At 57.7% G+C, this 12,653-nt stretch overlaps 2 pseudogenes across 1 annotated transcript; one reads left to right on the top strand and one right to left on the bottom strand.

Moving 5' to 3' along the window:
- Window positions 3,416-7,428, top strand: WASH6P (WASP family homolog 6, pseudogene; annotated as a pseudogene).
- DDX11L16 (DEAD/H-box helicase 11 like 16 (pseudogene)) lies at window positions 7,416-9,941 on the bottom strand (annotated as a pseudogene). The gene is made up of 3 exons (NR_110561.1): window positions 9,588-9,941; window positions 9,094-9,202; window positions 7,416-8,595 (listed from the first exon to the last, which is right to left on the bottom strand). The product of NR_110561.1 is annotated as a DEAD/H-box helicase 11 like 16 (pseudogene) (transcript).
- Between the last annotated feature and the right edge of the window lie 2,712 nt (window positions 9,942-12,653).

The raw sequence follows: 12,653 nt of genomic DNA on the forward strand, positions 1-12,653 counted from the left end.
GATACAATACCAAAAGCCAGTCCATAAAAGAAAAAAAATGATAATTTGGACATCATTAAAATTTAAAATGACTACTCTGTGAAATATCCTGTTAAGAGAATCAAAAAATAAGGCACACACTGAGAGAAAATATTTATAAAACAAGCCTGAAAAAAAGACTTGCATGCAAAATATACAAAGACATTCTAATACTCAACAAGAAGAAAAACAACCCAATTAAAAGATAAAGACATGGAATAGGAACAGCTCCAGTCTACAGCTCCCAGCCTGAGTGACGCAGAAGATGGGTGATTTCTGCATTTCCAACTGTGGTACTGGGTTCATCTCACTGGGGCTTGTCAGACAGTGGGTGCAGCCCACAAGCTTGAGCCGAAGCAGGGCGAGACATCGCCTTCACCCGGGAAGCACAAGGGGTCAGGGAATTCCCTTTTCCTAGCCAAGGGAAGCTGTGACAGATGGCACCTGGAAAATAGGGTCACTCCCACCCTAATACTGGCGCTTTTCCAACGGTCTTAGCAAACCGCACACCAGGAGATTATATCCCACGCCTGGGCTCGGAGGGTCCCACACCCACGGAGCCTCGCTCATTGCTAGCACAGCAGTCTGAGATTGAACTGCAAGGTGGCAGCAAGGCTGGTGGAGGGGTGCCCGCCATTGCTGAGGCTTGAGTAGGTAAACAAAGTGGCTGGGAAGCTTGAACTGGGTGGAACCCACCACAGCTCAAGGAGGCCTGCCTGCCTCTGTCAGACTCCACTTCTGGGGCCAGGGCATAGTCGAACAAAAGGCAACGGAAATCTCTGCAGACTTAAATGTCCCTGTCTGACAGCTTTGAAGAGAGTAGTGGTTCTCCAAGCACGGAGTTTGAGATCTGAGAACAGACAAACTGCCTCCTCAAGTGGGTCCCTGACCCCCGGGTAGCCTATCTGGGAGGTACCCCCCAGTAGGGGCAGACTGACACCTCACATTGCCGGGTACCCCTCTGAGACCAAGCTTCCAGAGGAACGATCGGGCAGCAACATTTGGTGTTCAGCAATATTCACTCTTCTGCAGCCTCCACTGCTGATACCCAGGCAAACAGGGTCTGGAGTGGACCTCCAGCAAACTCCAACAGACCTGCAGCTGAGGGTCCTGACTGTTAGAAGGAAAACTAACAAACAGAAAGGACATCCACACAAAAACCCCATCTGTACGTCACCATCATCAGAGACCAAAGGTAGATAAAACCACAAAGATAGGGAAAAAACAGAGCAGAAAAACTGAAAATTCTAAAAATCAGAGCGCCTCTCTTCCTCCAAAGGAACAAAGCTCCTCACCAACAATGGAACAAAGGTGGACGGAGAATGACTTTGACGAGTTGAGAAAAGAAGGCTTCAGATGATCAAACTTCTCCGAGCTAAAGGACGAAGTTCGAACCCAGTGCAAAGAAGTTAAAGACCTTGAAAAAAAGATTAGATGAATGGCTAACTAGAATAACCAATGCAGAGAAGTCCTGATGGAGGTGAAAACCATGGCACGAGAACTATGTGACGAATGCACAAGCTTTAGTAGCCGATGCGATCAACTGGAAGAAAGGGTATCAGTGATTGAAGATCAAATGAATGAAATCGGGGTCAGGGTCAAGGGTCAGGGTCAGGGTCAGGGTCAAGGGTCAGGGTCAGGGGTCAGGGTCAGGGTGAGGGTCAGGGTCAGGGTCAGGGTGAGGGTCAGGGTCAGAGTCAGGGTCAGGGTGAGGGTCAGGGTCAGGGTCAGGGTGAGGGTCAGGGTAGGGTGAGGGTCAGGGTGAGGGTGAGGGTCAGGGTGAGGGTCGGGGTTAGGGTTCAGGGTCGGGGTTAGGGTTCAGGGTCCGGGTTAGGGTTCAGGGTCCGGGTCAGGGTTAGGGTCAGGGTCAGGGTTAGGGTCAGGGTCAGGGTTAGGGTCAGGGTTTTAGGGTCAGGGTTTTAGGGTCAGGGTCAGGGTGAGGGTCAGGGTCAGGGTGAGGACCCTTTACAGCAGATGAAGGCCTCTCCCCAGCCAGAAAAGATGGAGCACACGCTGGGTGGTGGCCCCGCTTCCTCACTGGAAGGAGATGGTGCTCTTCTTTTTTCTTTCTGAATTGTGGCCACCTTCATACCAGTCTGTCATGGAACACTTAAGCCGCTTGAGTGCCTGCTGGTACTCCCAGCCCTGCCATGCCTGAGCCCCCTGCACACAAGGAGCCAGGAGTAATCAGGGCAGACCCATTAGGGCACGGGGACTTCTGGATTGTGAAATTGGCTCTCTGGGGGCCAAGGCCTTCTAACGTTGGTGGAAGTGGCTTTGGCTTATTGGGTCGGATTCTAGGCCATTCGTTCCAACCTTTAGAGACATCCCAGCTTTCCCTAGCCCAGAGTCTGCAGCCCCTCCACCATCCCACATCCTCCCCCTCCCTTTCCTCATGAACCCCAGTCGCGCCTCTGCCTTCTCAAACCCCTCCACCATCCCACACCCTCCTCCTGCCCTTCCTCATGAACCCCAGTCACGCCTCTGCCTTCTCATCCCTGCGCGCCACACAGGCTCGCTCGTGCCCGGTGAATGCTGAGGCTGCTCTGCACGTGGAGTGTGGCCCTGTGGGCAAGGGCTGGGCTCTTGGAGGTAGGGGAGCTACAGGGGCGACTGGGAGGAGGATGTTGTGTTACACACGCATCAGAGTTAACTTTGCAGTGAGAGCAGCCTTGCTGCGGCCAAAGAACATGGAAAAGCATGAGTGGGGTGATGTGCCTTAAAGCATCAGACACTTGGGCCTCGGGCATCAGGAGCCAGCCACAGGGATGTCTGGGGAAATGGCGTTCCATGAGATGCAAGCACACAAGAATGCACTTGGCACATCTGGGGAACAGCAGGCAGCTGATATCACTGGGCCCACCCCGCACCAGGGAGGATGGAAGCAGGTGAGGAGCTAGACCACACTGAGGCGGTGGTCGGGACTCAGAGTTTGCTCAGTGAGCCGTTCACTAGGTGCAGGGGCAGTTCCCCGTCTGAATTTAGGTGACGACACTCAGGTCCAGCCTTGCCAGTCTCAGCCTCCGGTCTCCGTTCCCCCTCTGCAGAGGTCACTTTGTCTGCTGCACGTGATTATGAGGGGTTGTGAAGTGCTTGCCCCATCAGTAGCCAGTGTGCATGTGTAAATACCATCCTCTGTGTGCCCTGGAGGCTGTCCTTCAGATAGCATGTACAGGTGGCAGCATAGGGCCTGTCCCTAGTGAGAGTGCAGGGAACTCAGCACCGTCAACTCCTCGACCCTGCAGGTCAGATTATCCTTGTAGAGGCCCCCTGGATGGCACCAAGATCGGCCCTGGCAAGCAGGTGACCCTGACTTCAGAGCCCTTGCCTGAGGGCCTGGCCTGGCAGCTCTGCTGTTAGAAGCAGGAGGTGTGCAGGGGGTGGGGAGCAGCCCAGCCTCTGTGATCTTCTCCATGGCAGGATCTCCCAGCAGGTAGAGCAGAGCCGGAGCCAGGTGCAGGCCATTGGAGAGAAGGTCTCCTTGGCCCAGGCCAAGATTGAGAAGATCAAGGGCAGCAAGAAGGCCATCAAGGTAGTCCCCATACCCCTGTGTCCTGAGGCTACTGGGCAGTCCCTCCATTTCCCCATGCCTCTGAGGCCGCCCATTCTCTGCCCTGCTGCCCACCTGTACCTTGGGCTTTCTTCTCGCCCAGGCTTCCAACTCCACCCTCTCCTGCCAAGCAATCCTAGCCCTCTGAGCCTCTTAGGGCCCCCTCAGACTTGTCCCTGTGTCCACAGGTGTTCTCCAGTGCCAAGTACCCTGCTCCAGAGCGCCTGCAGGAATATGGCTCCATCTTCACGGGCGCCCAGGACCCTGGCCTGCAGAGACGCCCCCGCCACAGGATCCAGAGCAAGCACCGCCCCCTGGACGAGCGGGCCCTGCAGGTCTGCTGGCTGCGCACATAACTTAGCCTGTCACACACCAGGAGGACTGGATACTGGGGAGGAGCCGGGGCCACCATAGGGTTCTGTCCCCCAGAGGAGGCTGACTGGGATGGGGTGGCAGCTGATTAGGCCCAGCACCAAATATTCACCATCCCTTGGCCATCCTGGCCCTCTCAGGAGAAGCTGAAGGACTTTCCTGTGTGCGTGAGCACCAAGCCGGAGCCCGAGGACGATGCAGAAGAGGGACTTGGGGGTCTTCCCAGCAACATCAGCTCTGTCAGCTCCTTGCTGCTTTTCAACACCACCGAGAACCTGTATGGCCAGAAGGCAGGGCCGAGGGGTGTGGGCGGGAGGCCCGGCCTGGCTTAGTGGGGACCCAGGGCATCAGACACAGGTACAGCACATAGGCCAGGAGCCAGGGGGTGACTGGGGTGGCTCGGCTCGGGAGGCCTGGGACCCCACAGTGCACGCTGTGCCCCTGATGATGTGGGAGAGGAACATGGGCTCAGGACAGCGGGTGTCAGCTTGCCTGACCCCCATGTCGCCTCCGTAGGTACAAGAAGTATGTCTTCCTGGACCCCCTGGCTGGTGCTGTAACAAAGACCCATGTGATGCTGGGGGCAGAGACAGAGGAGAAGCTGTTTGATGCCCCCTTGTCCATCAGCAAGAGAGAGCAGCTGGAACAGCAGGTGGGAGGGGTGGGACAGAGGTGGAGACAGGTGCAGTGGCCCAGGGCCTTGCCAGAGCTCTTCTCCAGTCAAGGCTGTTGGGCCCCTTATTCCACCCATGGGAGGTGCACACAAGGTCTTGTTGGCTGCCCCTGCAGGTCCCTGTCACCTCTCACATGTCCCTGCCTAATCTTGCAGGTCCCAGAGAACTACTTCTATGTGCCAGACCTGGGCCAGGTGCCTGAGATTGATGTTCCATCCTACCTGCCTGACCTGCCCAGCATTGCCAACGACCTCATGTACAGTGCCGACCTGGGCCCCGGCATTGCCCCCTCTGCCCCTGGCACCATTCCGGAACTGCCCACCTTCCACACTGAGGTAGCCGAGCCTCTCAAGGCAGGTGAGCTGGGTTCTGGGATGGGAGCTGGGCCGGGGACCTCCCTGCTGACACACCTTCTTCCCTAGACACCCCGCACTTTGTGTTTCAGACCTACAAGATGGGGTACTAACACCACCCCCACCGCCCCCACCACCACCCCCAGCTCCTGAGGTGCTGGCCAGTGCACCCCCACTCCCACCCTCAACCGCGGCCCCTGTAGGCCAAGGCGCCAGGCAGGACGACGGCAGCAGCAGCGCGTCTCCTTCAGGTGGGAGCAGCTCTTTGAGGCCACCTGATTTCTGGCGTGCTCAGTGCACTCGGGTGGATTTTCTGTGGGTTTGTTAAGTGGTCAGAAATTCTCAATTTTTTGAATAGTTTCCATTTCAAATATCTTGTTCTACTTGGTCCATAAAATAGTGGCTTTCAAACTGTAGAGCTCTGGACTTCTCACTTCTAGGGCAGAGGGAACCTGAACAAGTGAGGCTCTGGGTTCCCCATTCCTAATTAAACCAATGGAAAGAAGGGGTCTAATAACAAACTACAGCAACACATTTTTCATTTCAGCTTCACTGCTGTATCTCCCAGTGTAACCCTAGCATCCAGAAGTGGCACAAAACCCCTCTGCTGGCTCATGTGTGCAACTGAGACTGTCAGAGCATGGCTAGCTCAGGGGTCCAGCTCTGCAGGGTGGGGGCTAGAGAGGAAGCAGGGAGTATCTGCACACAGGATGCCCGCGCTCAGGTGGTTGCAGAAGTCAGTGCCCAGGCCCCCCCACACAGTCTCCAAAGGTCCGGCCTCCCCAGCGCGGGGCTCCTCGTTTGAGGGGAGGTGACTTCCCTCCCAGCAGGCTCTTGGACACAGTAAGCTTCCCCAGCCCTGCCTGAGCAGCCTTTCCTCCTTGCCCTGTTCCCCACCTCCCGGCTCCAGTCCAGGGAGCTCCCAGGGAAGTGGTCGACCCCTCCGGTGGCTGGGCCACTCTGCTAGAGTCCATCCGCCAAGCTGGGGGCATCGGCAAGGCCAAGCTGCGCAGCATGAAGGAGCGAAAGCTGGAGAAGAAGAAGCAGAAGGAGCAGGAGCAAGGTGAGCGGGCCCTGGAGCCTGCGGTCGGAGGGCCTTGGGCAAGATCGCCTCCTCCCCTCCAGCCCTGAGTCCACTGGGTGCTTTCTGCCCACCCCCTGCTCTTGCCAGCTGGCCCCTGCTTCCCCTAGGGCACATGCTGGAAGCCCTGGGCCGCCACCAGAAGTCCTCAGCCCTCCTGCCTGGGCTATGGCTCCTTCCTGGTTTGGGAGCCATAGTGAAGCTTTCCTCTCTAAGCTCACCCAGCCCAAACTGTGACAGGAGAATCTTCTTCGACTGCCAAGAGCGGTCCAAGGCAATGGTCAGCCACTGCAGCCCCCTGAGATATTTTTAGAGACTGGACCTGAGGCCTCTGGAGGCTACTGATGATGCCTGCTGTGAACGCAGACACTGGTGTGATGCGATGCCTGCGCCTGCAGCGGCAGTGCCCTGGGCACTATGGTTTTGAGCTTGTACCCAGCGCTGCTTTTGCCTTGCTCTGTGACCCCAGGCAAGCTGCCTCACCTCTCTGGGCCAGTTTCCCCATCGTACAGTGGTGCTGCACACCCTGGCCCTGGCCCCGAGGTGGCTGGGAGGTGGCTCCTCAAACAGCCGCTTTCTCATCAGTGCCCGGTGCTGGGTCAGGGATCGACTGAGGCTCTGAGCTAACTAGGAAACACAGTGGCCTTGGAGGGCTGGGGAGTGTCATGGGGGTGGGGACAGGGAGCCACCGGTCGCATGTGACTGAACTCTTCACCCCAGTCTGTGGCTTTCCCGTTGCAGTGAGAGCCACGAGCCAAGGTGGGCACTTGATGTCGGATCTCTTCAACAAGCTGGTCATGAGGCGCAAGGGTAGGAGGCAGGGCCGCTGCCCGCCCTGGGTCGGCACCTTGTAATTCTGTCCTGCCTTTTTCTTCCTGTATTTAAGTCTCCGGGGGCTGGGGGAATCAGGGTTTCCCACCAACCACCCTCACTCAGCCTTTTCCCTCCAGGCATCTCTGGGAAAGGACCTGGGGCTGGTGAGGGGCCCGGAGGAGCCTTTGCCCGCGTGTCAGACTCCATCCCTCCTGTGCCCCCACCGCAACAGCCACAGGCAGAGGAGGACGAGGACGACTGGGAATCCTAGGGGGCTCCATGACACCTTCCCCCCCAGACCCAGACTTGGGCTGTTGCTCTGACATGGACACAGCCAGGACAAGCTGCTCAGACCTGCTTCCCTGGGAGGGGGTGACGGAACCAGCACTGTGTGGAGACCAGCTTCAAGGAGCGGAAGGCTGGCTTGAGGCCACACAGCTGGGGCGGGGACTTCTGTCTGCCTGTGCTCCATGGGGGGACGGCTCCACCCAGCCTGCGCCACTGTGTTCTTAAGAGGCTTCCAGAGAAAACGGCACACCAATCAATAAAGAACTGAGCAGAAACCAACAGTGTGCTTTTAATAAAGGACCTCTAGCTGTGCAGGATGCAAACGTCTCGGGGTCAGTGACTGCCTCCTGCCCCTGTTGGTCCCTAGGCAGTGGGGGCAGAAGCTCCCAGCTGACCTGTTTCTCTGGGAGAGAAGGGCAGTCAGCAGGGGCAGCTGTTGCAGATGGGAGGAATAGTCTCCCACAAAAAAGGTTTCAGTGACAGACACGGGGTCTCTAAAAATAGTCATGCTGAGAGCCCAATGGCCCTTGGCACAATTGCTGGTGTTGGGGTAGAAGATGTCTTGGAGTTTGCTCAAGTGGTTGAGAGGGAGGGAGGTGCCATCAACTTGGAGGAACTGGCACCAAGCCAGGGAGATAGAAATCCAGGCAAGGCTGTGGGGCAGGTTAGGGAGCAAGGCTGCAGGGGTGACTCAGGAAGAAGGTGGGGGAGGTGACAAGCCCCCAGGCAGGGGCCCTGTGGCCATGGGGATCTTTTTAAATTGAGACTAGGGGGTGAATAGTCCAGGGCAGCTAACTTTAGTTATTATAGAAAGGGCAGTAGCAGATGGGTCTGCTCCGTCTCGCTTCTAAGAAGGTGGGCAGGACAAATGGCAGCCTCCTGCAGAGGCCCAGTGAGAAGCCTGGCCCTCGGCCACACAGGATGGAAGACAGATTGGATTCCACAGAGGGGAGCTGCCCTGGGAAGATCTCACGGATGGCCAGGACCCACCATTTCTTCGGGGTTCCCCTGTTTTCTCCAACGGGCACTAATGCCTGTGCCTGGGTCCTGGCAACACTCTGGACTCCACACTCTTCTGGGTTTCACCTTTGTAGCAGGATCCCTGCAGATCAGGCCCATGACAAACACCGTCTCCAGCGGGCAGAGCAAAGGAAGGGCGCAGCGCCAGGCAGTGGTGCAGCTGCCTGTCAGGAAGAGGCCTACTTCTGGTGAAACTGGGCAGACAAAAGGCAGTGAGAAATGTGATCTCGGGGTGGTGGAGGCTCTAGGGAAAGGAAAAGGCAGGAGTGAACTTCCACACAGCAGCAATGGCAGAACCAAAGGTGGCTTTGACCTCCACGAGGGCTCAGATCCAGGCCAACAGCTTGTCCAGGACAGGGTGCCGGGTGTATCACTAATCCAGGAGCACTATGCTGGCAGAATCCCTTTGGTGCCTGATGGCCCTGCCTTCGTGGGAACAGAGGCTAAGGCTTTGAGTTACAGCTGCCTCCCCAACAGTGCATCCCCTTCTCCTTCCTCAGCCTCAGGTAGGAGACAGGGCAGGCAACCCCCCTTTCCTCTTCTCCCCTTCTCCAGCCCCTGTCTGTCCACCCAGCTGGAGGCAGCCAGGCTTGCCTATGGACTGGTTGACAGCCTTCATGCACAGGTTCTCCACCAGAGCCTTTCTTGGGGGCCCCTGGCTGGGCTCTGAGCTGGGAGTGAAGGGGATGACCCATGCGGACTGTTTGCTGCTTGTAGCTTTCCCTGGGAAAGACTCTGCCAGGCCTTGGAGCCAGACCAGGAGGCTTTATAGGCCACTGCAAGCAGCAGGGCTCCAGATGACATCACAGGGAATATCAAGAGGGTGTGGAGGGGCATCGAAGCCTCTCCAGGAGACAGGAGACGCCGGCCCAGTAGAGCCCTAGGGGCGACGCCACTCCCACTCACTGTCTACTCTCCTCTCACCTCTGCAACACTGGGGACACTCACAAGATTGTGATCCAAGTCGGCCGTCGTCTTCTGCAGCTCTGGAGACCTGATGCTGGGGAAGGGCATGCCTGGCATCACCACACACCTGGGAGGAGACAGGAGCCTGGGGCCGGTGGGCCCACACATCACCAGCTGCTCCGTTCTACCATTTCTTCAGCCCTCTTGGCTGTGCCTGCGGCTCTGCCCCTCCCCTCTCTGCACCTACCACCCAGAGAGGGCTTGTTGAGCTCAGAGATCCCACCTAGGCCAATCCACTGGGTTCTGTGGCAGCGATGGCCTGCCTGATCTTCCACCTGCTCTCCCAGGGCCAAAGCCAGACCTGCTGAGCCCCTCCCTCCAGCCGGCTGGTCTGAGCAGTCACAGCCCGGCTTTGGGCTCCGATGGCAGCAGATGGCAGGTAGGGGTCCAGCTGCTGGAGCGAGGGCCGGCCACGTATCACAGCCAAGGAGATGAGCACAAGCACTACTTACTGGCCTAGGTTGTCAGAGAAGTTGATGCTCTCACTCATCTTTCCTCCAATCTTTCCCCTATGCCTGGTTGTGGTATTAAGTTACATGCAGACAACAGGGGCCAGAAGATGAACAATGGCCCATCCCACTCTAGGCATGGCTCCTCTCCACAGGAAAACTCCACTCCAGTGCTCAGCTTGCACCCTGGCACAGGCCAGCAGTTGCTGGAAGTCAGACACCTGCAGATCAAGACCACAGCATCAAGACCCTGTGACCTCTCAAAGGCCTGGTGGAAAGGACACGGGAAGTCTGGGCTAAGAGACAGCAAATACACATGAACAGAAAGAAGAGGTCAAAGAAAAGGCTGACGGCAAGTTAACAAAAAGAAAAATGGTGAATGATACCCGGTGCTGGCAATCTCGTTTAAACTACATGCAGGAACAGCAAAGGAAATCCGGCAAATTTGCGCAGTCATTCTCAACACCGGCCATGCAGCAAAATCATCAGTGGAAATTTAAAAAAATACACGTGGCCAGGCCCCAGCCCAAATCACTAATAAGAATCTCCAGGGCTTCACCTGTTAGACTGGCAAAAAATCCAAAAGTAAACACTTTGTGGAGAAACAGGCACTCCTAGACATTGCTGGTGGGATACAGAACAGTACAATTCTGATGGTAATCAGTTAACAAATTAAACATATTTATTTTATACTTTTAAACCCAGGAATCCCATATTTAGGAGTCTACTGAGACCAAACAGCATATGCTCCTGGTGTTTCCCTATAATCCGCCACTACTGTTGGAGCAAGAGGGCCCAGCAGTGTCCCCAGCTGCCAGCAGGCGGGCGTGCTGCCAGTACACCTTGAGCAAGAGGACCCTGCAATGTCCGTAGCTGCCAGCAGGCGGCGTGCCACCACTATACAGTAAGCAAGAGGACCCTGCAGTGCCCCGGCGCCACGAGGGGGCGGTGGCCACCACTCTAAGCAAGAGAGCCCTGCAGTTGCCCTAGTCGCCAGCAGGGGGCGCCCTGGCACAGCACCGTGAGCAAGCGGGTCCTGTAGTGCCCGGCTGCAAGCAAGGGGCGGTCGATCCCGGCTTTTCGGATTACTGAAGTTCCACCCGTCTCTGCGCCGCGCCGCCGTGACGTGAGTTTCTGCGCGTGCACGGCGCCCCCGCACCCCCCCGCCCCCAGCCCGGCGCCGTGCGACTTTGCTCCTGCAACACACGCACCCCCAACCCCCGCCCGTAGGCGTGCGTCTCTGCGCCTGCGCCACGCCTCCACCCCTGGACGCGCTAGCATGTGTCTCTGCGCCTGCGCCGGCGCGGCGCGCCTCTCTGCGCCTGCGCCGGCGCGGCGCGCCTCTCTGCGCCTGCGCCGGCGCGGCGCGCCTCTCTGCGCCTGCGCCGGCGCGGCGCGCCTCTCTGCGCCTGCGCCGGCGCGGCGCGCCTCTCTGCGCCTGCGCCGGCGCGGCGCGCCTCTCTGCGCCTGCGCCGGCGCGGCGCGCCTCTCTGCGCCTGCGCCGGCGCGGCGCGCCTCTCTGCGCCTGCGCCGGCGCGGCGCGCCTTTGCGACGGCCGAGTTGCGTTCTCGTCAGCACAGAGCGGCAGAGCACCGCGAGGGCGGAGCTGCGTTGTCCTCTGCACAGATTTCGGTGGTACTGCGAAGGCGGAGCAGAGTTCTCCTCAGGTCAGACCCGGGCGGGCGGGCTGAGGGTACCGCGAGGGCGGAGCTGCGTTCTGCTCAGTACAGACCTGGGGGTCACCGTAAAGGTGGAGCAGCATTCCCCTAAGCACAGACGTTGGGGCCACTGACTGGCTTTGGGACAACTCGGGGCGCATCAACGGTGAATAAAAATGTTTCCCGGTTGCAGCCATGAATAATCAAGGTGAGAGACCAGTTAGAGCGGTTCAGTGCGGAAAACGGGAAAGCAAAAGCCCCTCTGAATGCTGCGCACCGAGATTCTCCCAAGGCAAGGGGAGGGGCTGCATTGCAGGGTCCACTTGCAGCGTCGGAACGCAAATGCAGCATTCCTAATGCACACATGATACCCAAAATATAACACCCACATTCCTCATGTGCTTAGGGTGAGGGTGAGGGTTGGGGTTGGGGTTGCGGTTGGGGTTGGGGTTGGGGTTGGGGTTGGGGTTAGGGTTTGGGTTTAGGGTTGGGGTAGGGGTAGGGGTGGGGTTGGGGTTGGGGTTGGGGTTGGGGTTAGGGGTTGGGGTTGGGGTTGGGGTTGGGGTTGGGGTTAGGGTTAAGGGTTAGGGTTAGGGGTTAGGGGTTAGGGTTGGGGTTGGGGTTAGGGTTAGGGTAGGGTTAGGGTTAGGGTTAGGGGTTAGGGGTTAGGGTAGGGTTAGGGTGAGGGTGAGGGTGAGGGTGAGGGTGAGGGTGAGGGTTAGGGTTAGGGTTAGGGTTAGGGTTAGGGGTTAGGGGTTAGGGTTAGGGTTAGGGGTTAGGGGTTAGGGTTAGGGTTAGGGGTTAGGGTTAGGGTTAGGGGTTAGGGGTTAGGGGTTAGGGGTTAGGGTAGGGTAGGGTAGGGTAGGGAGGGTTAGGGTTAGGGTTAGGGTTAGGGTTAGGGTTAGGGTTAGGGTTAGGGTTAGGGTTAGGGTTAGGGTTAGGGTTAGGGTTAGGGTTAGGGTTAGGGTTAGGGTTAGGGTTAGGGTTAGGGTTAGGGTTAGGGTTAGGGTTAGGGTTAGGGTTAGGGTTAGGGTTAGGGTTAGGGTTAGGGTTAGGGTTAGGGTTAGGGTTAGGGTTAGGGTTAGGGTTAGGGTTAGGGTTAGGGTTAGGGTTAGGGTTAGGGTTAGGGTGAGGGTTAGGGTTAGGGTTAGGGTTAGGGTTAGGGTTAGGGTTAGGGTTAGGGTTAGGGTTAGGGTTAGGGTTAGGGTTAGGGTTAGGGTTAGGGTTAGGGTTAGGGTTAGGGTTAGGGTTAGGGGTTAGGGGTTAGGGGTTAGGGGTTAGGGGTTAGGGGTTAGGGTTAGGGTTAGGGTTAGGGTGTGGTGTGTGGGTGTGTGTGGGTGTGGTGTGTGTGGGTGTGGTGTGTGGGTGTGGGTGTGGGTGTGGGTGTGTGGGTGTGGTGTGTGGGTGTGGT

Source organism: Homo sapiens, chromosome Y (genome assembly GCF_000001405.40).
Source record: "Homo sapiens chromosome Y, GRCh38.p14 Primary Assembly".
NCBI classification, from domain to species: Eukaryota; Metazoa; Chordata; class Mammalia; order Primates; family Hominidae; genus Homo; species Homo sapiens.